Source organism: Homo sapiens, chromosome 17 (genome assembly GCF_000001405.40).
Source record: "Homo sapiens chromosome 17, GRCh38.p14 Primary Assembly".
NCBI classification, from domain to species: Eukaryota; Metazoa; Chordata; class Mammalia; order Primates; family Hominidae; genus Homo; species Homo sapiens.
The window spans coordinates 80,413,951-80,439,500 of record NC_000017.11 but is presented as its reverse complement, the minus strand read 5'-3'; the positions used below and the strand labels follow the sequence as shown (position 1 = coordinate 80,439,500).

Below are 25,550 nucleotides of genomic sequence, written 5' to 3'. Positions count from 1 at the left end.
GTTGGGGGGCCAGGCTGGTGAGCACTTCCCCGCCAGCAAGTGTGGGCTCCCCCAAACATTCCCAGGTGGCACCCCTTCACCCTGAGTTCCTGTTTGAAAGACCAGAGCCTGGGGGGAGACAGGGATGGGTGAGGGGTGTCTGCAGCTTGGGCACTGCCCCTGGAGGAGAGGGTGACTCAGGCCTCAGGGCACCCGTCAGATACCCCTTCCTGCCCCAAACACCACAGCTTATTCTAAAAGCATCGGTCCCACTGATAAGAGGCTCAGAGAGGCGAGGTGGCTTACCCAAGCACACACAGCACACAAGTACAGAGGCCTTGGTCTGGAACCCAGGGCCCTGGTTGCCTGTGCACAGCCACTTCCACCAGGACAAGGAGCCCCAGGCCAGGCCCTTCAGGGACTCTTCCGCAGAGGAGGCAGGACACAGGCCCTGGGGTGGGCGTGTACCAGCTACCAGGGTGTGAGGGGCGAGGCTGGCTCTCCTGGAGCTCATGCTGCCCTTGGCCCTGGAGGACGGGGCCCCCATGAGAGGTGCGTGGCTCAGGTCAGATGCTGTGCAAGGGGCCAAGGCCCAGCTCAGACCCAGATTCAAATAGTCCAATGCCTGTGGCCAGAGCAGGGGTGGGGCTTGGGACAGCTAGGACCACCAGAGGGGCCCCTCCCTGGGGCCTGACCTTGGCCAGATCCTAAAGGACCACTCCAGCCCTGGTGTGTCTTCTGATCCTGAGTGCCACAGGAGAGGGGACGCAGGACAGCTGGGGTCTCAGAGGCTCCAAAGGCCAGGCCCACCTGCTTCTTGGAGTCTTTCCCTCCCAGCCTCCAGGCAGGGTGGGGGCCTGGGAAAGGGACACAGAGGCCCGCAAGTGAGCAGGAAAATCTATTTGGATCTGACTTGAATTATTAAGTGGTTCAAGAATATTCTTAGCTCTGGGCAGGCTGTGGTCTGTAGAGACGGACTTTACCACGGCCCTATTTTTAAAGTTCTGTGGGTCGGAGTCAGAGTCGAGACGTCACTGCACTTAGGGCCCCCCTGCACGCCCCTCTGCCTGCCGCCGGGGAGTAGGGTGGGGACAGGGCAGGGGGGCACATGCCAACCCTGCAGACCCCCACCCTGCAGGGGAAGGGCGTGTGACGCAGGGATGGGAAGTTGGGGCTCCCCCACCTACCAGGTGCCCAGGCCCACCCCTGCCCAGCCCCTGGCCCGTGAACCTGCTCCCCCAATTCTAGCCCCCCTTGACCCTCACACCCTGTTTCCCCTGCTTCAATCCCCTGCACTCTACTCCCCCAAACCCGCCCCCCTCCCCAGAGCAGCCTTGGGGAAAGGGGCTGGGCCAGCTCAGGGCTGCCACTGCACATCCCCACGGTGGGCTGGCATCTCTGCAAGATGCTTTTGACTGAAGAAAAAAAATCAAGCTTTTGAAGAATTCAAGTTAGTTTTATTCAAAGGTCTTACTGAGAATCCTAGACCCAGGTCCCAGCCCGGGAGCAGCCTTAGAGAGCTCCTGTTTGACTGCCCGGCTCAGTGTCTCGGCCCACTGCTTGGTTACGGGGGCCGGGGCTCAGGACCTGCACAGTCACATCCATCCAGCTGGCTCCGAAGTTACATTACAGCAGAATCACATCAAGGTTTGGGCATAAGAGCACTTCTGGTTACAGATTACAGAAGCATAATCGCTAACCTTGGCCAACATTTTCTCATGTGCACGAAAAGCCAAGGACCAGGGTCCTTCACCTTTTAAGGAATACAGTGACTCAGGCAACAGACGCGGGGCCGTGTGTTCTTTCCTGTTTTGTTTTCAAAGCGTCTCTCTGGAGAGCTGCAGTGTCACAGAGTAAGGGCCCACAGAAATGAGCACACACTTAGGTTTGCTGCTGACACGCCCTGCCTCTCCTCATGTGGTTCATGTGGCCATCAGCCGGGGCTGAAGACCCCTGGCACACACCTGCACCCCAAACGGACTACAGGTGCCGCTTTCATTTCAACTCTCACCCATTTAGGGTTCGGAGCCCCACACCCACTTAACCCCAAGCCCAGTGGCAAAGCTTCCTGAGAGGCCCGGAACCGCCAGCCATGAGTTCTACACCACCCCCACTGTCCTCCTGAAACCCTGCTCCCCCAAAGACAGGCCTTACTGAGGACTTGGTGGGGTGCTGGTCAGGAACTGCCCGGTCTTTGGGGAGGGGGTGCTGGCTGTCCGCCTGGGGAGAGCCTGGGAAAGGCATGCAGGCAGATGTGGTTGGAGCTCCGACTCTCTGACTCTTGGGCTTAGGTGAGTCCTCAGCAGGTGCCCTGCACTCCTGGTCCCCTTTCCCAGCCAGATCACTGCTCAGCATCTGCAGAGTCAAGGAGGACTCTCCCAAAACCATGCACGGCCAGATGGCCCAAGTTAAAAGAAGATGCCAGTGACTAAAAGCAGGAGTGAAGGCAGGGACGTTCTCAGAGACCTCACACACATCAATAAAATCCCGTGAACGACGGTATGCCAACAGATGAGATAACATGGACGAAACGGAAAAACTCCAAGAAACACACAAGCTAGCAACTGACTCAAGGATGGACAATCCGAACGATCTATAACAAATACATAGATTGAATCGAATCAAAATCCTCCCAAAGACCCAAGACCAGATAGGCTTACTGGCAAATTCTACCAAAGGTTCTAGCAAGAATTAACACCAATCTCTCTCTTCCAAAAAAAACGGAGGAGAGAACATTTCCTAACCCAATCTATGAGGCTAATATTATCCTGATATCAAAACCAAAGGAAGACATCATAAGAAAACACCAGACCAATATCCCTTATAAATACAGATGTAAAAATCCGCACCAAAATACAAGCAAATCACATTCAGCAGCAGAGTAAATGGATTATACACCATGACCGAGTTAGATGTATTCCACAAATGGAAACTGGCTCAACATATGAAAATCAATCAATGTAACACCTCATATTCACAGAAGAACACAGGATCTTTTCAATAGAGGCCAGAAAAGCATTTGACAAAATCCAGTACCCTTTAAGGATAAAAACACTTAACAAATTAGGACTAGAAGGGACCGTCTTCAGCTGGATGAAGAGCATCCTTGAAAATCTAACAGCTCACATCACATCTAGTGGTGAAAGACTGCAAACGTTCCCTTAAGATCAGGAACAAGACAAGGACGTGTGCTCTCACCACCACGTTCGATCAGGAACGAGACGAGGACGTGTGCTCTCACCACCGCGTTCGATCAGGAACGAGACGAGGATGTGTGCTCTCACCACCGCGTTCGATCAGGAACGAGACGAGGACGTGTGCTCTCACCACCGCGTTCGATCAGGAATGAGACGAGGACGTGTGCTCTCACCACCACGTTCAACAAAGTGCTAGACGTTCCAGCCAGAGCAATGAGGCAAGAAAAAGAAATAAAAGGCGTTCAGAGTGGAAAGGAGGAAGTGGAAATGGGCCAGGTGCAGTGGCTCGCGCCTGTAATCTCAGCACTTGGGGAGGCCGAGGTGGGAGGAAAGCTTGAGCCCAGGAGTTGGAGACCAGCCTGGGTAACATGGTGAGACCCTGTCTTTACAAAAAAATCTTGAAAAACTAGGCCGGACACAATGGCTCACGCCTGTAATCCCAGCACTTTGGGAGGCTGAGGCAGGTGGATCACGAGGTCAGGAGATCGAGACCATCCTGGCTAACACGGTGAAACCCCGTCTCTACTGAAAAAAAAAAAAAAATTAGCTGGGCGTGGTGGCGGGCGCCTGTAGTCCCAGCTACTCAGGAGGCTGAGGCAGGAGAATGGCGTGAACCCGGGAGGCGGAGCTTGCAGTGAGCCGAGATCACGCCACCGCACACCAGCCTGGGCGACACAGCGAGACTCTGTCTCAAAAAAAAAAATTAGCCAGGCATGGTGGCACATGCTTGTAGTCCCAGCTACTCTGGAGGCTGAGCCAGGAGGATTGCTTGAGCCCAAGAGGTCGAGGCTGCAGTGAGCCATGATCACACCCCTGCACTCCAGTCTTGGCAACAGAGCGAGACCCTGTCTCAACAACAAAGCAAAATGGTCTGGGACAACTGGCTACTCACAGGTATGACATGGGACCTGCTCCCTTACACCATACACAAATTTAAGTCAAAATGGATCAAAGACTTAAAGGTAAGAAGCACTAAAACTATACATTTCTTAGAAGGAAATGTAGGTGTAAATTTTCATGGCCTTGAATTAGTCAATGGCTTCTTAAATCTAACATCAAAAGCATAAGCAACAAAATAGATGGACTTCATCAAATTTAAAAACTTTCATGCATCAAAGGACACTAACAAGAAAATAATGACAACCCACAGGAAAAAATATTTGTAAACTAAAGAAGTGATCAATATCTAGGATTCAGAACATATAAAGAACTTCTGCAACTCAACAAGATGACAACCCAATTTTTAAAATGGGCAAAGGATTTGAATAGATGCTTTGCTCACGAGGATATACAAATGGTTACTAGACATGAGAAGGCGCTCACCACCATTAGCCATCAGGAAATGCAAATCAAATGCACAATGAAATACCACTTTTTTTTTGAGGCAGGGTCTCATTGTCACCCAGGCTGGAATGCAGTGGCACAATCACGGTTCACTGCAACCTCAACCTCCTGGGCTTAAGTGATCCTCCCACCTCAACCTCCCGAGTAGCTGTGATTATAGGAGTGCATCACCATGCCTGGTTAATTTTTTAGTTTTCTGTAGAGATGAGGTCTCACTATGTTGCCCAGGCTGGTCTCAAACTCCTGGGCTCAAGTGATCCTCCTGTCACAGCCTTCCAAAGTGCTGGGATTACAGGCATGAACCACTCACTGTGCCCAGCCGAAACACCAGTTTCTACTCCAAGGAATGGCTAGAATCTAAGCGGCAGATAATAGCAAGTGGTGGTGAGGGTGTGCAGAACCTGGAACCCTTGGGCATTGCTGGTGGGGATGTGAACTGATGTAGCTGCTATGGAAAAGTCTGGCAGTTTCTCAGAAAGTTAAACACAGGGTCACCACATGACCCAGAAATTCTACTCCTAGGTATATATACCCAAGGCAACTGAAAACATGTTTACACAAAAGCGTGTACATCAGTCTTCATTGCAGCATTATTCACAAAAGCCCTGAATGGAAAAAACCCAAATATCCACCAGGATTAACAAAATGTTTATACTGATCCATATGATGGAATATGACTCAGCCATAAAGAAGAATGAGGTCCTGACACCTGGCACGACACAGGTGCATCTTGAAAACATTATGCCAAGAGAAGGAAGCCAGACAGAAAAGACTACACGGTGATTCCACGCCTGCATGGCGCCCACAGCAGGCCTGTCCAGAGACACACGGTGATTCCACGTCGGCATGGTGCCCACAACAGGCCTGTCCAGAGACAGGAAGCCCTTGCTGGGTGCCAGGGTCTGGGGAAGGGAGAACGGGGAGTGACTACTAATGGATATGGGGTTTCCCTTTGGGGTAAAAAACCGTTCTGGAACTAAACAGTAATGATGGTTGCACATGATTGTGAATATACCAAAAGTCAATGAGTTGTAGTGGAAATGATGACTTTTATCTCAAAACAAACATAAACTACTCACGTAAAAATTGTCTGCAAACTTATCTCCAGGCTCTGGCCTGCTCCTTCTTGCAAGGGGAGGGGAAAATGAAGGACCCCCTGACCAGGTCCTGGCCAGGCCCTCAGCTGGGGAGGCCCACCTGACACCCATGGTCCTTGAGGAACCAACGGTTTTAAGCAGAGCCTGACCTCCAGCCCCAGAGGAGCCCAGAGCCATCTCTGCCCCCCTCACAGAGGTGGGTCATTGGGGTTGAAGCTACTGCTCTTTGTGCAAAGCCTACCACATGCCAGGCAGTTGTGGGCATTTCTTCTGAGTCTCCCGGCCCCCTGGGAAGCTCCCCTGTTGGAGTGAAGCCCCAGGGCGCAGGAGGTGTGGTCCTGTCTGGCTCCAGAGGAAGGGGGCAGCCAGGCCTCCCTTCGAGGACCTGAGTTCTGATGGCTTGGGATGGCGTGAGGAGCTGCCAGCTCAGGTGGGAGCCTGGTAGATGAGACCTCCCTGACCTGGCTTCATCCTCTCATCACTGGGGTTGGCACAGCATGGCGGACTGACGGCCTTGTGGGCCTCACCTCTCCAAACCAACAGCCTTCCCTCACCAAGGACTCACCATGTGCCAAGGCTCCCTGCTGAGCCCTTACACACTTCACCTGGTGGAATATCCCCCACCACATGGGCAGGTACTGACCCCTGTGGGATGCGTTTTGAGCTTTGCTCAAGGCCAGCCTGGAAGAGACAGTGGGATCTCAGCCAGCTCTGCCCAGCTTCCACACTGTGCTTCTAATGCCTCTAATTCCCTGCCACCTGTGCTCCCGGAGCTCTGGACAGGGAAAGCTCTAGAAGTCAGGAGGGCATTCTGTGGGAATGCCAGTGAGTGTGGAGAGGGGAGAGGCATTTGTTTGGGGCAGGGGGTGCTGAGCCTCCCAAGGGTCCTACTGGCTTGGGGCACACACATGGCATCCTGGACACCAGGCTCTGGGTGTGTCTGGGGTGGTGGAGCCCTTTGACTCAGGAGGTAGGTGGAATGAGGCACCAGCTGGGTGCCATGTTTCCCTTTCCCACGAGTGCCCTCGGGGAGGTGGAATGGGAGCGAGCAGAAACCTGGGTACTGCTGGGCCACCTGCAGTCAGCAGCTCCCCTGCCTAGACCCCCACACGCCCCCATGACTCCATCTCCCACGACTCTGCTTGAGGCAAGGTCCCCCATCGCCAGCATTGGCTCTGTCCACTCCCTGCCTGAGGAGCCCTGTTCTTCCAAGGACCATGCAATGGTCTCACCTATGCCTCAGTGGGCCTGGGGGCCAGCATGAGGGGTCCCCAGAGCGGTGCCTAAGCCCCGGACTCACGGGCAATGACACGGGACCTCTGCCTCCCTGTCCCCCAACCTGGACGGCATGCCCCAGGACAACGGCTGTGCTCGGTTGGTGTTACTGCCGGGAGAGCCCAGCCCAGCCTGCTTGTGCTGGTGACATTCAGAGGTTTCAGGGGAACACCTCTGGAGGCTGTCCACGGCCCTGCTCTCCCTCCCATCCAGACAGGACTCCACAGGGGTGCTGGGAGGCAGATCCTTGCCAAAGATGCTAGGTGGGCAGACGCCCTTCCCTCCGACCACTGATGCCTCATTCCTGGGCCCAGCCAGGTGCTGGACTCCACCACCCCATGCCCCATTTATTAGGAGTGTACCGAGTGTCCACCGCTGGGCAAGAGACCTATGTGTATCCCCACCTTTAACCCCCAAAGCTTCTGAAGCAGGTGTTCATGTTCCCGGTGAGGAAACAGGTTCCAGGTGGACACGGCTGCAGCTCTCGGCTTATCAGGTGCTGCCCTGGACTCTCCCAAGGGGACCTTCAGCGCCCACCAGACAGGCACATCTAGACCGGTCTGCACCCCACATGTGGCTGTCCCCGAGGCTCACACAGCTCCACAGCTGACACCCCTCCCAACTTGAGCTAGAGGCAGACAGGGTCCACACAACCTCAAAGCCGGCCTCACCGGCTGTCAACTCCACCCCTCTCCCACCCCAAGGACTCTCTGGGGACACTCTCCCCACACTGGCCTGAGTTCCAAGGCCCTTCCTGTCTGCTGCCTCTCCCTTTCCAAGGCAAGTGGAAAGGGAGGGCCGTGAGCCGTCCCCATCCACTAGCTCCTGCCCCTTTCGGTGGGAAGGGCAGAGATTCCTCTGCCACGGTGAGGGGAGCCTCAGTCCACCGGTGGGGTCCTCACTGAAAGCTAGATCCCCGACAGGCCCAAGTGCCCAGGGCTGAGTGAGGCCAGTCCGGGGCCACTGACACCCTGAAGCATGGAGGGCCTGAGGGGCCGCACTGGGGCTCCCTCTCGCCCCACACTGCTCATCTGGTTCCGGCCAGCGTTGCCGATGGATGGCAGCCACAACAGTCCACCTAGTTCCCGCTCTCTCCTGTGCCCCCCGTGACTTTAGGCACAAGGTGCCCGCAGAGCCCCTCGGCATCCGCTCCCCCCAGCCCCACTTGTCCTGGAGTGAGTCTACTTCTTATAGAAATTTCTAGAATAGAGTCTGCTCCATCAAGGAAGGGCAGCTACACAGCCTGGGCCTCTTTTCCAGAGCCTCTGCCCCTGCAGCCCAGCCCTCCAAAGCAGCTTTCGAGTGAGCGCAGGCGGGTGGGGCCAGCACTCCCCGGCCCTGAGTGCTGCTGCCTGTGTACCTGTTCCCTCAGGCCCAGGCTCGCCCTGCTCCTCAGGAACACCAGGATAGCACCTTCTTGAAGGGGCATGGAGGCGCGCCAGAGACCCGGCCTCCCTGGATTCTTGTCCCAAGCTGTCAAATCATGATCACCGGCCCCTTCTTGTAGAGGTCAGGTGAATGGCAAGAAAGGATTCCAGGGACTTCTTCATGCTCTGTGGCAGATTCCAGCATCCTCAGGGGGCCTGGGATCTGGAGGCCAGCCGGCATGTCAAGGGCTGGGGGGTGCTTGCAAGGTGCCCAGGGGCTGGGGCTGGGCTGCAGGTGGGCCATCCCCTTTGCCCCCACTCCTCAGCTGGCGCCTCTAGCCCACACCAAGAGAAGATGAAGTGGCCAGACAGGGGCCTAGGGCTGCTTTCCCACAGTGGAGACAGTTTTGAGGCTGTGCCTCTGGGGCAAGGCAGGCAAGGACAGAGGACAGTGATCAACTTTCAGAGCCTGTGGGGACGGTGCCACCCCCGATCCTAGCCCCCGCCGGGCACAGAGCCTGGCACCCAACCCCTCAGGCACCAGTGCCACCCTGTCTGGCCTCCTGCCCCACAGCCCAGACTGCCCGTGTGCTGCCCCCGTCCTCGGCCCCCTCCAGGCTGAGATGAGGCTCTCTGCTCCCTCTTCCTGGGACAGGCTGGAGGATGGCCAGGACTGGGGTCAGGGGTCATGGCAGGCAGTGAGCAGGTGCTAAAGCCCAGCTACCCCAGCTAGGACCCCTCCCGTGTCAGGGCAGAGGTGGTTCAGTGTGGCTGGGGCTGAGGACCTGCTTTAAAAATGAACCCTGATTTTGCAAGTAAACCTCAGGGTAAAGAGATCAATGGAAATAAATAAACAAACAAACAAATATGTGAAATAAAAAATGAATCCTGAGAAGAATAAAAAAGAGCAAGCAAGTTCCATCTATTGAAAGGGGTGGGCAAAGCACAGGCTGCAGGGGTCGTGCAGGCTGCAGCTCCGAGTCCCCTTCGTCGGCTCCGGGAAAGCGTCTCATGCGCTCTCAGGATCTGGCACTTGCCCCCATAGAGATCTGTCCTCTGAGGCACCGTGACCACAGCTGACCAGCCGATGACGGAGCAAAGAGGGGCCGTGGTCACCTCTGCCCCACCTGGTGCTGGGCTGTGCTGCGGCGTCCCCCTGGGGTGGTGCGGTCAGCCTGTCTTTGGGGACTGGGTGCTCCACCTGCGGCTGAGATGAGGTTCCCCTAAGTCCCTAGACCACCCCCAGGGGTGGTCAGTGTCCTGAGGCCAGAACGGGGTGGCCGGTGGCCTTCTTGTCTTCATGGTGCCCAGTTCCACCCTACTGCCAGTCCTTGCCCGCCTGCTCCTGGGAGCCTGGCCTTGGGGCTGTCCTGGGGCCTGGGCTGTGGTCCTGTGGGGGCTGGCCCTCACCTGAGGACTCTCCGGAGTCTCCTTTGGGGCATGCCACTGGCCTCTGCGCCTTCGGGCTCCTGGTGATGACATTGAGAAAGGGACAGCATCAGATGCTAGCGCCTACCTGACACCCCCTCACACCCCAGATGGGGTCTGGGAACTGCGCTTGGCCTGGACACTCAGGACCTGCTACAGCCCAGGGCAGAGGGCAGGGCAGAGCACGCTGCTCAGACACGCAGCTTGCATTCAAGCGGGCCGGCCTCCAACTCTGGGAGAGCTTGGGGGGTCCCCGCCACCTGCTCCCTCAGTTCTCAAAGCAGCCTAGGGAGGCCTGGGAACAGCCCCTGGCTTAGAGGGAAAATGAGCACGAAGGAACCGCAGCCCTTCAGTAACTAATCGTGGGCGAGGGCAGGGCGAATCCCAGGCCTGGGGCCTCCTGCGATCTTTGCCTAGGGAGTGGGGGTGTCCTCTCAGCCTGGAGGCTCAGATGCAGGGCCTGGAATCCAAACTGCCCACACTGAGAGAAGAGGAAGTAGCCAGACTGAATTCTGCTTTACTCCTTATCAACACTCAGTGTCCCAGCCTCCTCATCTGTAAAGTGGGGTCACAGTACTTGTCTCACATCAAGGTTGCTAGCAGGATCAAACCATCTGCAATGGTTTTAAGACAATGCCTTGCACTGTTAGCGGTGACTGTGCCAGGCACACTGTCACTCTAACTTACAAGAACCAGTGGGACAAGAATTACAGAGCCTATCCCGACGATGAGGAAGCTGAGGCTCGAAGAGTGCAAACGCCACAGCTGGCTATGCAGGGCTGGATCATGTCTGACTCCGAGGCCACGCCTTTTCTGCAGAGCCCACGTCCTGGTACCTCACAGGCTAAGTGGACTGAGGAAGGCTGGGGATAGCCCTATTGGGAGGTAGGGCTTGGACCAGACAGGGCCGTAGTTCCAGGGCTTTGCGTGGAGGCAGTGGTGTTTCTGGAGAGTTCCCACGAGAATAGGAGTCTACCCCACTCCACTCTCCTCCCTCTTTGAAGACCTCTCCTGTGTCCCCTGCCTTCCCTGGCCCTGCACTGTCTGTCCTGAGCCACAATATTGCAACAAGGAGAGGCTGAGCCACCGGAAACAGCCCATGCAGGTGTCTGTGAGATGCCCCTTTAGTGCCCCAGCCTCCCTGGGTGCTCACCTCGGTGTGGGTGGCCCGGGGAGTCCCAGCGACTTGCGGATGTGCTCTCGGGAGCAGATGTCAGCCTGGGGGAGACAGACGTGCTGCTGGGTGCTGAGCTGGTCTCTAGACCAGTTTCCCACCAGGAGCTGCTGCTGGCAATGCCTCCATCCCCCACAGAAGCCCACTCAGGACACACAGGTCACAGCCAGTTCTTCAGGCTCAGGAGCCGCGGCCCTGTCAGCGAGTGTGGGACAGGCATGCCTGGGACTTTGGGGTCAAAGCCCCGCAATGGCAGCTCTCAAACCGAGCTGGGCAGTCCCTGAAGGGCCTGAGTAGCTGGTGAGTGGACAGGCTGAGTGAGGGGGTCCTGGGTCTCCTCCCCACCAGTGGCAGTTGGAGCTGCTCAGCCTTCACTGGTTTCCAGTCTGTGCTTCCCTGTAGGCTCTGCGCAAGCCGAGGCTTCCCTGCTAACACTTGCTTCTCTGGGGGCTCTGAGCCCAGCTGGTCTGTCCTCTCCCTGACTAGATCAGCAGTAACCCCTGTCCCGTCTCCAGAATCACCAAGATAAAAGAGGGCGGTGGGCCACAGGCTGGGATGGGGGCAGACCCTAGCAGGGAGGGACACTGAACAGGGCTCAGGTCTGAGTGGGAACCCCCGGGGGCATGGGGGGTCTGGCCCTGGGAAGTCCCCCTGATCCCAGCTCAGATGAGCTTAGATTAGCTTCAGGGCTGCACGACTCATGGAAAGCAACGGCTAATCCCCCAGCCTGCTCCTGCTTCCATTCATGGGGGAAGTGGGGCAGCGGTAGGCGGGGCCAGCACCTCTCACCTTCCCCTGGAGCGGCCCAGCCTGGCCTGGCAGGAGAGCCTGGACCTGGCAACCAGGAGCGCCGCAGCGCCTGTGACCATGGGGCCACCAAGACGGCCCGGCGCGGAGCCAGGGAGAGAGCAGACCAACACTAACCCCGTCTGTGCTCTCCCAGGACCTTCTGGAACAGAGCAGGAGGTGAACCTGTTGAGAGGTGAGTGAGCTCAGGAAGAAAATGGACCGAGAGACAGAGCCAGCCCTGCAGGACACGATCCTCGGCTCACGCCCAACAGTAAGAAGCTGCGGGCTCCTGGTACGGGGTGGCTGCATATCCCAACTGGTTGCGGCTTTCCTTCCTCTGGAGGGTGGGCCCAGGATTTGGCAGGCTCTTTGCTGGTGCTAGGCACAGATCCTTGCTCTATTTCTAGATGCTTAAGGTACTCACAGGCCAGGTGTCCCCTCCCTTGCAAGGATGGGCCACTGTCCTACTCTGGGGCGCGCTGAGGCAGAAAAAGGTACAGGAGCTCCAGGAACTGTGCTGTCTGCAGCAGCAGCACGACCTAAAGTTCCTGTGGCTGAAGGCCTGGGGGACAGTTTCTTGGGTTCTCTCTCGGAAGACCACACGGCTGAGTTGGAATGGAGGAAGAAAGGCCTCTTTCCTGGGGGCTGGGGACACAGCTCACAGGCTTGAGAGTCCACACACCTGTGCCCTGAGCAAAGCCCTGCAAGGCTGTGGAGCCCGCTCTCAGACGCCACCACTGAGCACAGCTCCCCAGGGCGAGGGCCATTGTGGTATGTGGGCTGCTGCTGCCCCCTGGAGGCCACACTGCGCGCCAGCAGCCGGAAGGCCCCGGCCCGAAGGTGGTGGCCTGGGGGTTTTCCACCGGTGCTGCGGCTGCCCCAGGGCAGGCTGCAGGGCAAGCGGTGGGGTAAGATGGGGAAGGGGCAGACACCAGGGAGGCTCAGGGGCTGGGCTGCTGGAAGCAGCATGGCTTGTGCAGACCTGCGTCCACAGCCTCCACAGCACGCACAGCGGCCACCTAAAAAGGCCAATCTGCGGGCGCCCCGCTGCCAACTCACAGCCATCCAAGTCCCTGTGGGTGACGTCTGAAACCCTGGCGCACCCCAAGATGCTCACGGGCTCCCACCCACTCTGTACTTCACTGCCATCTGGCTCCGGCCACACCTTCCTGCTGAGTTTTTGTTTTTTAAAGTTTTTTTGAGATAAGGTCTTGCTCTGTCACCCAGGCTGGAGTGCAGTGGCCCAATCAGGGCACACTACAGCCTCGACCTCCTGGGCTCAGGTGATCCTCCCGCCTCAGCCTCCTAAGTAGCAGAGACCACAGGCACGCACCACCACACTTGGCTAATTTGTTTTTACGTTTTTTTTGTAGAGACGGGGTCTATGTTGCCTAGGGCGCCCTCAAACTCCTGGGCTCAAGTGATCCTCCCACCTCTGTCTCCCAAAGTGTTGGGGTTACAGGCGTGAGCCACCCTCCGGGCCCCCCATTTCTTGAGCACATCAAACTCCTTCCTGCCCAGGGCTGTCCTTCCCCTTCCTCCAGCGGGTCTCTTCCTAAGACTGACTTTTCTTGAACCCTCACTCTGTGGGCTTCTCTGGGACAGCATCCACCCGTGTCTTGTGGTCCCCTGGTCCTATCGAGGCTGTCTGTGGGCATCTCGTGCCAGCTGTCTCTCCCTGGCCCACAGGCTGAGTCCTTTCTCAGCTGAGCTGATGGCTTCAGCAGAGTTCTCACCCTTCCTGGGGGACCGAACACCAGTTTTGTGCTGGGTCCTGGGGCGGGCATACCCAAGTCCCCAGACTGGCGTCTCTGGGGCCTGCACAGCTTTCCTGCAGGAGCCTCCTGGCTCAAGTTCAGCTGCTCCCTCTGGGACCTGAGGGGCTGGCTGGGAACTGGCAGGACACCTCACCACCTGAGCTAACATCACTGATTCTCCAAGCTGGCCTGTATCTGGGTGCAGGAGGCTCAGAGAGGCTGGGAGGCTGAGTGCATGGGGTGCAGGGCCTGGGGATGAACTCTTGGGAGCCCTGCACCCCCCAGTCTACTGTCCTGACTGCAGGGCCCAGCAAGCTCTCCAGCAAGATGTCTGTGACCTGTCCTCGGCCCAGGAACCCCCGTCCTCATGTCACTGCACTCTGACCCCAGCTGAGCTGCTGGGGAGCCCTGAACAGCAGGTGGCAGGAAGCAGAGGAGCCTGTGCTGCCTCCCCGCATCCCCAGCACACCCACCTGGCGCACGGGCTCTGGGATCCGGAACCTGCAGCAGCAGCAAGTCAGGCGCACAGCGGCCTCCAGGCTCATCCTGTGGCCCACGGAGATGTAGAGGGGCCTGGTGCTGCGGTCGTGGCTCCTCAGGGCCTGTGACAAGGAAGGCGAGGGCTGTCCTGTGGGCTGGGCCACCGGGACCAGGGTCAGGACAGCCTCAGCAGCTGGAGCTCTGACAAAATGTCCTGGGGGCAAGGGGGAAGCTGAAGGGGCAGTGCTCTCAGGGGCCAGGGCCTGCCCACCCTCAGGGCGCCTTCCTGCTGCTTGTCCCTGGGGGAGGGTGGGCTCCCTCAGCACGGCTGGAGGAAAGAAACACAAACATCACACCCTGGACTCAGTCAGAGGCAGGAGGATGGATGGACGGGCAGGCGGGGGGTTGATGTGGGCAAGTGTGAGTGCACGCGTGTCTGCATGCACCTGTGTCTGCCTGCAAAGGATCCCCTACCCCGGGGCTTTGGAGGAGCTCAGGGCCCTAGCTACTCACCATTCCCAGGACAGTCCCAGAGTCTCCCAGCAGAGGGAATGAGTCTCCTCGAGTCTGCAGGAGTCGGATCTGGAAAATGGAGGGAAAAATGGGGAAAAAAACCCCTCTCTTCTTGGTGAAGGGCTGAAGGCAAGTCTCTATTTTTTGAGACGGAGTGTCGCACTGTTGCCCAGGCTGAAGTACAGTGGCGCGATCTCAGCTCACTGCAACCTCTGCCTCCCGTGTTCAAGCGATTCTCCCACCTCAGCCTCCTGAGTAGCTGGGACTACAGGCATGTGCCACCACGCCCGGCTAATTTTTTGTATTTTTAGTAGAGATGGGGTTTCACCATGCTAGCCAGGATGGTCTCGATCTCCTAATCGCGTGATCCACCCACTTCGGCCTCCCAAAGTGCTGGGATTACAGGAGTGAGCCACCGCAACCGGCCCAGGTCTCTTTATTTTTAAAACCCAGTCACTGGGCCAGGAAAGGGAAGGGGACTGATCTTGGAGGTGAGCCACAGCCCAGGCAAAGCCACACCACCTGAGACGACACTGAGCGTGCAGGCGGTGAAGTGGTCTTGTCCCTGAGCTGAGGGTGCTGCCCACAAGACCCTGTTCAAACCTGATGATGGGGCTTAGAACAAGGGCAACAATCTGCCCAGGGCCGCTGTGCCAGGCTGGCAGCCACACAGGTGCCGCCACTGCCCAGTGATGGGTGCTGAGCCCGCTTCCTTCCTGTGGCTTCTCTCCTGCTTTGGGCACATCTGACACAGCTCAACAGGCTGGTATTTCTGGCGGCGGTGGACTGGCTCATTGAGTGGGTCTAAGGTCCCCATCAACTCAACAGATTTTTATTAAGCAACTTCTCCATGCAGGCACCTGAGAGCTAGGAGGAATGAGAGACACAGTCTCTGCTCTCAGAATCTGCCATCCAGTGAAACAGCTGGGGGTGTCAACAGCTCCCTCCATTGTGAGTGTCTCACTCCCAGTGCCAACATGGGGTCCCAGAGGAGGAAGATGCAGGGGAAGGTGAGGTAGGAAGAGTGTGGGTGGCAGCTCCAGGCAGGTCTTGGCGGGAGGGGGGCCTGGAGGCTGTGGTACCTGAGCATGCAGGGGAGGAGACAGGGGCTGGGGCAAGGCGGGGTGGGGAAAGCACCAAGTGCGCCCGGGACAGCCTGGAAGCCCGTCCTGTCCCCAGTAACTGGAGGACTTAGCCCTACTTGGTGTGCCACGGTGGCTCAGAGGCAAGGGGGACCAGAGAGGCAGGCACACCCAGGAGGCAGGAGAGGAGCTCAGAGCGCCCTCAGCTGAGACAGGCAATGCAGCACCCAGAGGAAAGCAGGTCTTTCTTACTCCAGGCCACAAGCCAGGGATGAGGAGGGCAGCGTCAGCAGGCAAGGGCTGGTCCAGAAGTGTCCTCATGCCCAGGGCCACCACAGCCCCGCCACTGAGCTGCCGGGCATGGCCTGCAGCAGGCCCCTCCTCACCTTCTCCTTGTGCAGGGCGTTGTTCTCCAGCCCATCCACCTGCAGAAGTTTCTTGGCCACCCCAACACACGGCAGGTCTGTAAGGACGCCAAGGTGGCAGGCCACCCCAAAGCCTGCCAGAGAGAAAGGAGGGTGGGGTTGGGGAGGTGGGGCTGGGGCCTGGCACAGGGATTCAGGACAAGCCAGTCTTACCAAAAGCTTCCCTAAGTGAGCAGAGGTCTGTGGACAGGCAGAGGGCTGGGGAAACCAGATCTAAGTCCCAAGCAGACCTGGGCGAAAGCCCCCTGTGCCCGATGTCCTGGGTGCAAGGCCGTGGAGGAAGCCTCCTTCTCTCTGACACGGTCAGTGCCAGGGTCAGCACCTCGCTGGCGTGCTGGGATACTGCAGCTCTCCGGTCATTTCCTGCACCTCCCAGCTTCCTCTTCCCTCGACGGTGGCCTGCCAGCGCTGGCACGAGCATGTGGGTCGGCACATGACAACCCTTTGGCTCTGCACCCATGTGCGAGGGCAGCAGCCAGGGCCGAGTCACACTTGCTGGCCAGGAAGGCCCAATGTCACCCCTCCTGGGCCCTCTCTGGGTGCTGCTGCGCCGCCCGCAGCTCTGTATGTAACAGTAAAAGAGCCCATCTCCCTAGGCCGGGCGCGGTGGCTCACGCCTGAAATCCCAGCACTTTGGGAGGCCGAGGCAGGCGGATCACGAGGTCAGGAGATCAAGACCATCCTGGCTAACACGTGAAACCCCGTCTCTCCTAAAAATACAAAAAAATTAGCCGGGCGTGGTGATGGGCACCTGTAGTCTCAGCTACTCAGGAGGCTGAGGCAGGAGAGTGGCATGAACCCGGGAGGCGGAGGTTGCAGTGAGCCGAGATCGCGCCACTGCACTCCAGCCTGGGCGACAGAGCGAGACTCCGTCTCAAAAAAAAAAGAGCCCATCTCCCTCAGCCACGCTCCCTAGGCCAAGGTTCCTGGCATCAGTGGGGGCCTGGGTACACCTGTCTAGTTGTGGACAAGGGGCCTGACGGGCCATGCAGGTTGGGCGGCTGGCAGGGAAGGCCACTCTGAGCCCGGGCCCTGGGACATCTTTTGGTGATCAGGTCAGAACTGGATAGTGGCACCTGGAGATGAGCCAGCACAGGGCACTGTAGAGAAGGCAGTGGCGGACAGGAAAGAGGTAAGGGGTGAAGCGAAAGTAGACAGTCCTTTACCGGCGGTGGGGGAGGCGGGGCTGAGCGCACTGCGCGTCCCCGTTGCGCCGAGAAAGAAGCCATTGGAGGGGGCTGGCGGCAGAGGCCGAGGGCCCAGCATTTTCTGTGGGGGACGACAGAGGTGCCCTCTCCCCCCGCTCTTCCCCACAGTGCCCTCCCTGGACCTCCAAGAGCAGGATTACCTCGGTGGTGGAGTACCCCGTTTCCATCCACAAGAAGGACCTATGGAGCCACAGGGAGAGTCACAGTCAGCTGAGCTGCCCCTCGGCCCTCAGGACAGGGCCATCCCTGAGGCAAGAAGGGGGCACTGTCTCTGGGGTCCAGCTTTTTAGAAATCCTCATTCCTCTCTTCCAGGAAGCTCATGAGTCTCTCCCTGCCACTGTGGTGGTGGCGACCTGCAGCAGCCTTCCCTCCCCCAGGGGGAAGGAGGGACCTTTCTCTCGTCCTAGGGATGAGACACCTGCCTGGGGCATGAGGCCCGGCTCCTTCTCCCGCAGCTGCTGCACCAGCTCCAGCAAGAAGGGCACCTCTCGGAAGGCCAGGAAGCCCGACACGTAGGGGGCTGTGAGGCTGACCATGCGGCTCTCCTCATACACCACCTGACACCAGGCACGCAGCTCAGTGGGAAGCACAGCCTTCGGCCACCTGCTCCATCCCCAGTCCGTCCATGCCCTGCCCCCCTCATCCTTCCCTCTCCCTTACGTCACCCTCATGGCTCCCCTTCCCTGCCTCACCTATGAGATGATGGGTTTGGAAGAAGGAACTAGAAGATGTACCCTGCAAATTGGTGGTGGGCAGGTACCCCCGGGACCTGGTCCATAGGAGCAGACCCCCCCAGGACCTGGTCCGTAGCAGCAGCTCCCCCGGGACCTGGTCTGTAGCAACAGCACCCCCACCCCGCCCCCACCGGGACCTGGTCCATAGCAGCAGCCCCCTGGGACCCGGTCCATATGAGAACCCCCACCCCGGACCCGGTCCACTGGAGGAGCCCCAACTCCCAGACCTGATGTGTATAGTAGGAGCCCCTGGGACCTGGTCCATAGGAGGATTCCCTGGTATCTGGTCTGTATGAGGAGCCCCCAGGACCTGGTCCATAGGAGGATTCCCCGGGATCTGGTCTGTATGAGGATTCCCCGGGACCCGGTCCATAGGAAGATTCCCCGGGATCTAGTTCATAGGATGAGCCCCTGAAGCCTAGACTGTAGAAGGATTCCCTGGAATCTAGTCCATAGGAGGAGCCTCCGGGACCTGGTCCATAGGAGGATTCCCTGGGATCAGGTCCGCGGGAGCCCCCCAGGACCTGGTCTTCATCAGAAGCAAGGCTAAGGCTGCTGGCTGCATCACCTCTGCCTGCCCCTTGCTTTCCTGGTGTCTCCTCCTTTGTGTATTGAAGCCGATGCCCCACCCCACCCCTCCATGGGTTGTTGGAGGCTTAAAGAAGACACAGTGTTGGCCAGGCGTGGTGGCTCACGCCTGTAATCCCAGCACTTTGGGAGGCCGAGGCGGACGATCACCTGAGGTTGGGAGTTCAAGACCAGCCTGACCAACATGGAGAAACCCCGTGTTTACTAAAAATACAAAATTATCTGGGCGTGGTGGCGCATGCCTGTAATCCCAGCTACTCGGGAGGCTGAGGCAGGAGAACTGCTTGAACCCAGGAGGCAGAGGCTGCAGTTTAGAGCACAACATGGCAGGCCTGAGTCTCCTAACCTTGTGTTTTCCTTAGTCACACTGCCCTTAATGTGAAGACGTTTCCCACTATGTCCACATTCTGCAGACCTGTCTACCTTCCTGCAGTTTTGTTACTGAATCCCCCAAATCTCTTGGTGACAGCTTTCAAATCACAACTTCCACTCCTCACTTGTGGCTGGATCAATAATTAAACACACCAAAGCAGACGGAGTGCTCTGTATTAGCACAGAGGGTTGGGGATCATTCTCACAACATCTTCATCAATGACTCAATGGGGAAACTGATCAAATCTGCCCATGACCCAAAGTGGGGAGGGTCCATTCTGATAACAGAATTTGGGTTCACAGAGAAGCCAGCAGGCTGGATCACTGACATCCCCACAGAGTAAAAGTCACTTTGCACAGTGACATGTGGAATTCAAGTGTGGCCTGAGTTCCCACAGGAGGGGCGTGGCTGCTTACATCTGAATCTCTCCCATAATGTTATCATTCAGGTGACATTATGGGATGACTATGATGTGTAATCAGTATGATAATGACACTGTGGCTGTGGAGGAGAATGTCATTCTCAGGACAGGCCTGCTGATGTCTTCTGAGCTGTCACAGTCGCTGGGATGTACGGTACACACGCACACAAAGAGCGCATGTGCGCGAGAGAGAATATTCCAGAGCAGCAACAGCTGAACCTAAGTAGAAGGAATACAGGTGTCCAACGTATCCTTTTCCAATTTGGGGGGATGTATGTACATTTTCAAATTAAAAATCTGGGAAAAGAAAAATCACTGTATGATTAGCGTAGGGGGCAGGTCTGGATGACCAGCAATCTCAACATAAGCCAGTGACCTGGTGCCCCTCAAAAGCTACCAGTGTTTCCAGCTACACCGACTGAAATGGCGTGGGTGACAGTTAGGTCTAGGGACTTGGGTAGACCACATCCAAGTTCCTGCATTTGATTCTGAGTGCAGACGGAAAGATGGATTGTGTGAACGGAGGGCATGACCAGAGGGCCACTGACCAGTGAAGAAGCTGGACGTCATCGCAGCCTCTTGGGACAGTGTGGTCAAGGAGCAGGCAGCTGTTTCCAGCAGCAGAAGGGCTGACAAGCAGAAGGCAGGGAAGATCCGTTCTGTTTTGCTACCTGAAGGCAGAACTGATCGATGGGAGTCACAGACAAGTAGGAGTCAGCTCCCTGCGGAGCAGAACACACTAGCCATTGCTCAGCGTCCAGCACACAACAGGCTCCACCAGGCCTGTGGAGCAGCACACACCAGCCATCGCTCAGCATCTGGCATGGAATGGGCTCCGCCAGAGGCCTGCGGAGCAGCACACACCAGCCATGGCTCAGCATCTGGCACAGAACGGGCTCCGCCATCGTTTGTCAGGGATGCTAAGGACAGTGTTCTTCACGGTGGGAAAAGCAGGCCAGTGGTTCTCCAGCCCAGCTCTGCTTCAGAATCACAGGAAAGCTTATTTTAAAAAGCAGATTCTTATGCTATACTCTGGGAGAGTTTTTCCCCCAGTAAGTGGGGTAGGGCTCTGGAATCTGTTTTTTTTTTTTTTTTTTTGACAGAGTCCTGCTCTGTTGCTCAGGCTGGAGTGCACTGACGCGATCTCGGCTCACTGCAAGCTCCGCCTCCCAGGTTCACGCCATTCTCCTGCCTCAGCCTCCCGAGTAGCTGGGACTACAGGTGCCCGCCACCATGCCCGGCTGATTTTTTTTGTATTTTTAGTAGACACAGGGTTTCACCGTGTTAGCCAGGATGGTCTCGATCGCCTGACCTCGTGATCCAGCCGCCTCAGCCTCCCAAAGTGCTGGGATTACAGGCATGAACCACTGCGCCCGGCCTGTTTTTTTTCCTAACAGGTTTACTGAGATACAATTAACATACCATAAAGTTCACTTGTTTAAAACATATAATGCGATGGTTTTGGTATTTACAGAGTTGTGCAATATCACTACAATCTAACTTTAGAACATTTTCCTTAACCCCTAAATAAACCTCATCCTCATCAGCAGTCACTTCCCATCCATCCCACCCCAACTCCAAGGCCCAAGGATCCACTTTCTGTCTCTGTGGATGTGCCTACGGAATCTGTTTCTCAACACACTTCTGGGTGATTCTGCTCCTGCAGGTCCACGGTCGGGCATTCAGGAACCAGTGGACCAGACTGTTCCAAGATCCTTTCCTAGTCTAAGCTTTCATAGCCGGAACAATGAATACCGACGAAGTAGCAGGTGCTTTGCTTGGTGCTGGGGTTGTAAAAGAAATATGGTACACCCTACTCTTGAGAACCTACAGTCAGTGGGAAAAATGGAATCATAAATGACTAACTTTAATACAATGTGAGAAGCGCTCTAACAGCATGTGCATTCAAAAGAGGCCCAGGATGCAGATGAGGTGATTAATTTGCAGCCAGGAGAAGTTGGAGGGGGAAGGGAATGCTGTGTTAACTGCTTTCCATGCATTTCATGTACTGCTCATCACAATTCTGTGAGCTGGATATTAATACCACTATCATCCTCAAGTCAGAAAAAAGGAGACAGAGGCCTAGAGGGCAAAGTGGGGAGTGGCAGAGTTGGGTGTGAGCATGAGTAGTCAGGACCCTAAGACTGTGTCCCCACTCCCTATGCTAGCCTACACAATGGCCAGGGGACCTCTTAGAGTAGGGGCTGCTGAATATCCCAATCTTAGCACACAGTAGGCACTCAGTACATTTTTGCTTGATTTGGACTGAAAAGGGCCTCCCAAGTAAAGCACAAAGCCATGGAAGCAGGAAGACGTTTGTCACCTTCGGGAGTCAGCAGAGGAGCAATGCGAGTGACGCCAAGAGGCTTCCGGAGCTGTTGACTCTTATGTGAATCATGAGCCCACTGTCCATTCACACACGTATCTCTTGAAGGAAGAGTCCAGCGTCTTCCTCATGCTATCCATGGTGGGCAAAGCAACATGGTTTCTACCATCATGGAGTTTATATTCCAGTAGGGAAGACAGGCCAGTTCCATCCCAGCAAGACAAGAGGAAGCAGAGGGTTGCTACGGTCTAAATGCTGGTGTCCTCCCCAAATTCCTATGTTGAAATTATAACCCATAGGTGATGGTATTACGAGGTGGGGCCTCTAGGGAGGTGAGTGGATCACCATGTGAGAACACGGTTAAGAAGCTGGCCCTGTGCAACCTGAAAGAGCGCCGTCACCACAACCTGATTGCGCTGGCACCCTGATCTTGAGCCTCCAGCCTCCAGAACTGTGAGAAATAAATTCCTGCTGTGGGTAGGCCACCCAGTCTAAGGTATTCTATTACAGCAGCCCAAACGGACTAAGACATGGTGCTGAGGGACAAGTCCTCGTCTTGTGGGATGAGAGGGAGCTTAGTGGAGGACGTCATGTCTAAACTGAGCCCAAAGAGATGAGTAGTAGTTAGCCAGATGGAAACCCTTCCAGAAGAAACATTACTGCAAAGGTCAGGCCGCCAAATACAGCGTAGCAAACACGTGAGGGACTCACAGTGGGCTGTAGGAGGTGGGAAGAACTGAGAATAGTGGTGAGGGCTGAGCCTCCAGCGTCATATTAAATTACGCAGGGGACAGGTCATGACGGGCCTTGAAGCCATGCCAACCAGAGTGAACTTTATTCACCATGAGGTCATGAGAAGGGCACTTCAATGTTCTAAGAGGACTTGTGGGCTGGGTGTGGTGGTTCCCACCTGTAATCTCAGCACTTGGGGAGGCCAAGGTAGGAGGATCCCTTGAGCCCAGGAGCTGGAGACCACCCTGGGCAACATAGTGAGATCCTGTCTCTACAAAAAATAAAAAAATAAGCCGGGTGTAGTGGCTCACACCTGTGGTCCTAGCTACTCAGGCTAAGGTGGGAGGATCACTTGAGTCCAGGAGGTTGAGATCAGATCTTGACAGTGAGCCAAGATTATGCCACTGCACTTCAGCCTGGGCACAGAGTGGGGGAAGGGGAAAGGAAGGAAAGAGAGACAGAGAGAGGAAGGAAGGGAGGAAGGAAGGAAGGAAGGAAGGGAGGGAGGGAGGGAGGGAGGGGACTTGTTGCTTTTGAGGAAAATACTTGCTTTTTAGGAAAATTGGTCTGCTGGCAGTATGGAAAAGAAACCACTGAGGAGGAACATTTGAGCCAGGGCACCCATGAAAATGCTGCTCAGGAACCCACAGGAGTGATGGTGGCACAGCCAGGGAAGGAGCAGAGGGGAAACAGACAAGGGGACAGATTCCAGCGACATTTAAGAGGCAGAATAAAAGCGAGCTAGTGTGCAACTGGACGCGAGAGGAACGGAGGGGCCCAGGAGGATGCAGATCTCCAGCTTGGGCAACTGGGAGCGTGGTGGACAGGTCACTGAGATGAAGAACCCAAGATAACAATCAGACTTGAAGATAAAGCTCATGAGCTGATTCTTAATAGTCACAGAATTCCCTTAATTTTTGCCTTTTTTTCCCTTCCAAGACTCCCCAGACTTTTTTTTTTTTTTTTTTTTTTTGAGATGGAGTTTCGCTCTTGTTGCCGAGGCTGGAGTGCAATGGCGTGATGTTGGCTCACCGCAACCTCCGCCTCCCGGGTTCAAGCGATTCTCCCGCCTCAGCCTTCCGAGTAGCTGGGATTACAGGTATATGCCACCACACCCGTCTAATTTTGTATTTTTAGTAGAGACCGGGTTTCTCCATGTTGGTCAGGCTGGTCTCGAACTCCCGACCTCAGGTGATTCCCCCGCCTCAGCCTCCCAAAGTGCTGGGATTGCAGGCGTGAGCCACCGCGCCCGGCCAACTCCCCAGACTATTAATGACATCCTACAAAACGAGAAGCCGGGTTCTACGCTTGCACTGCTCCCTGTCCCGGAGACCGCACGCCCGAGCCCACCGAGGGGCCCGCCTCGAGCTCGGCGTCCTCCCAGGTTACCTCGAGCTCAGGGAAGCTGAGCACCACCAGGGAAGCACAAGCGCGGACACTGTCCCCTTTCACGAAGGACACGTCAACGCCCCCGACCCTCTGCAGACCCGAGAAGGCGGGGTCTCGCTGCCACGCCTCGGTGTCCCGGTCTACGACGTGGGCCTTCAGCCGAGCTTGCTCCCTAGGAGGACAGAAGCGTCAAACTTGGTCGGGGTCACACCTCAGACTCTGCCTCCTCCACCCGCGCGGCTGCAGCGGACAGAGCGCCTCTGCCGGGTCTTCTCCCGCTTCAAGGGAAAGCAAGGGACATACCGCCGAGGCCACAGTCCCTAGGAGCCCAGGCGGCGGAGACCCGCGCAAGCGCAGGCCAGACAAACTGGCCGGAAGCGAGAACCGCGCCCACCCCGCGGACTACAATTCCTGAGATCCCTCCGCTTCCGCGCCGGAAACTGGGCTTTGCTTTGGAGTCTCGGGCGGTGGCAGCTCCGATTCCACAGCCTGAAGACTATGAGCTCGGAGGGTCCGCGAAGGGCCGCCCGGCCTCGGCCCCCGCCTCCTGCGCGTCGCCTGACAGCATTACCGTTTCCACAGTGACAGCGTTTCCTCCGGCGGCCCTCCCGCCGCCTCCAGGGCCATGGCTTCGTCCCGGGCACCCCTTCCGCACGTCACTTCCGGAAGCGACTCGCTCTGACGCCGTCCGCCCTCGTTGCCATGGAGACGCTTGCGCTTTCCCGGGCCGCACTTCCCACCCGGGTCTTCAGAAGCCCGTGGCCGCTGGGTGAGCCCCTGCGTGAACGCACACGCACGCACACGGCTTCAGGTTGCCCCGCGGCGCCGCGCGCGATATCGGCTCGGATCCCGGGAGGCCGTCCGCCCCTTTTTCAGCGGATAGCTGAGGCCAGGTAAGTGACCGCGCGAGGACCCGGGAACTCCGTGACGCCCGTCCCGCCTCTGCTGTCCCCGCCGCAAGCGCTGCGCTCTGCACGGCGAGAGGGGCCTCTTGCCCTGTTGAGAGCCGGCGGGCACGGCACTTCTGCGCTTGGAAAAGGGTGGTCCAGCACTGCAGGTCCCACTCCTTGGCCCGGTCAGCGTCCGCCTTTGCTGAACCCCGAAAGGATTCACCAGGTCCAGGACAGCCCGGCAGTTGCCTCAGGAGCACTTACTGAGCGCCTGTCGTTGACGCCCCCACCTCGATGGCAGCTCAGGGGTGCCCTCAAGCTTTTGAGGGCAGGTGTCGTGTATTTAAATTCTTCACAGTTTAGCGGGCTGGACTCACGGGGGTGCTGCAGACTTGGACGGGGTTTCATCTGGGTCGGACCTTGCTGGGCAGAAAGCTTCTCCTACCAGACAAAGTACGGCGACCTTGGGGGGTCTTGGTTCTTACCTCGTGTTCCTCATTGAATGAGTGTTGGTTCAGTGCTCTCGCTGTGCCAGGTGTTGTGCGAAGTACTGTGAGGGAGAATATGTATTTATTTGTGGGGAGCCGACTTTAAACCGGTGGTTGGGAAAGGCCTGAGAGGCGATATTGAAGACACCTGAAGGGTGAGTGAAAGAGCACGGCGGGTGAGTGGAGCAGCTTTCTCGTGCAGGTCCCGGGGTGGGAAAGAGGTTGGTGTATTTGAAGCACTGAAAGGCAGCCACTGAAGCTGAAGTGTAGCAGTTTAACCCATGGTTTTATATTCTCCTGGGAGGATTCAGAAGGGTGTATGTGTGTATGTATATATAATAGCCTGAATATAAACGTCAAGGGTGTTAGGTTTTGAAGGGAAGGTGAAGGTTAAAGAATGACGCACAGTGAGATTGCCGGCGCGCGGGCGGCTCTACAGCAACACAGGTGTATTGCAAACACCTGTCGGGGGCCAGCTTAATGCCAGAGCCCA

At 56.9% G+C, this 25,550-nt stretch overlaps 1 protein-coding gene, 1 long non-coding RNA gene and 1 other non-coding gene across 39 annotated transcripts in view, besides 3 other annotated features; 1 reads left to right on the top strand and 2 right to left on the bottom strand.

Moving 5' to 3' along the window:
- Positions 1 to 1,414: 1,414 nt before the first annotated feature.
- Positions 1,415 to 24,334, bottom strand: ENDOV (endonuclease V). 37 transcript variants are annotated; one of them, XM_047435812.1, is made up of 12 exons: positions 23,680 to 24,334; positions 19,781 to 19,954; positions 19,228 to 19,451; positions 17,539 to 17,673; positions 17,256 to 17,295; positions 15,869 to 15,981; positions 14,401 to 14,469; positions 13,881 to 14,042; positions 11,651 to 11,833; positions 10,841 to 10,905; positions 9,670 to 9,728; positions 9,130 to 9,466 (listed from the first exon to the last, which is right to left on the bottom strand). In XM_047435812.1, exons 4-12 carry the CDS (start codon positions 17,650 to 17,652, stop codon positions 9,372 to 9,374), a joined length of 900 nt encoding a protein of 299 aa, XP_047291768.1. In that variant the 5' UTR covers positions 17,653 to 17,673; positions 19,228 to 19,451; positions 19,781 to 19,954; positions 23,680 to 24,334; the 3' UTR covers positions 9,130 to 9,371. The 37 variants fall into 37 exon arrangements, 32 of the variants coding, with proteins under 32 accessions (XP_011522960.1, XP_011522971.1, NP_775898.2 ...); XM_011524658.3 differs by lacking the exons at positions 9,130 to 9,466; positions 19,228 to 19,451; positions 19,781 to 19,954 and adding an exon at positions 1,415 to 3,368 and having other exon boundaries at positions 23,680 to 23,851; positions 24,251 to 24,334; XM_011524666.2 differs by lacking the exons at positions 19,228 to 19,451; positions 19,781 to 19,954 and adding an exon at positions 21,556 to 21,690.
- Positions 13,547 to 14,046: an enhancer, noted in NCBI's record as "H3K4me1 hESC enhancer chr17:78399255-78399754 (GRCh37/hg19 assembly coordinates)". NCBI's record gives its function as "activates a minimal SCP1, AML or CMV promoter by ChIP-STARR-seq in primed H9 embryonic stem cells {active_cell/tissue: H9 hESC(primed)}" and the evidence as "EXISTENCE:reporter gene assay evidence [ECO:0000049][PMID:30033119]".
- Positions 14,047 to 14,548: an enhancer, noted in NCBI's record as "H3K4me1 hESC enhancer chr17:78398753-78399254 (GRCh37/hg19 assembly coordinates)". NCBI's record gives its function as "activates a minimal SCP1, AML or CMV promoter by ChIP-STARR-seq in primed H9 embryonic stem cells {active_cell/tissue: H9 hESC(primed)}" and the evidence as "EXISTENCE:reporter gene assay evidence [ECO:0000049][PMID:30033119]".
- Positions 20,008 to 20,083, bottom strand: MIR4730 (microRNA 4730). Its single transcript, NR_039883.1, has one exon. It is a non-coding gene; the product is annotated as a microRNA 4730 (primary transcript).
- Positions 23,812 to 23,901: an enhancer, noted in NCBI's record as "active region_12935". NCBI's record gives its function as "activates an Ori minimal core promoter by ATAC-STARR-seq in GM12878 lymphoblastoid cells {active_cell/tissue: GM12878}" and the evidence as "EXISTENCE:reporter gene assay evidence [ECO:0000049][PMID:35858748]".
- RNF213-AS1 (RNF213 antisense RNA 1) overlaps positions 24,333 to 25,550 on the top strand; it is a 63,339-nt gene continuing 62,121 nt past the window's right edge. Inside the window, exon 1 of the long non-coding RNA NR_029376.1 lies at positions 24,333 to 24,572. This is a non-coding gene — a long non-coding RNA (RNF213 antisense RNA 1). The remainder of the gene's footprint in view (positions 24,573 to 25,550) is intronic.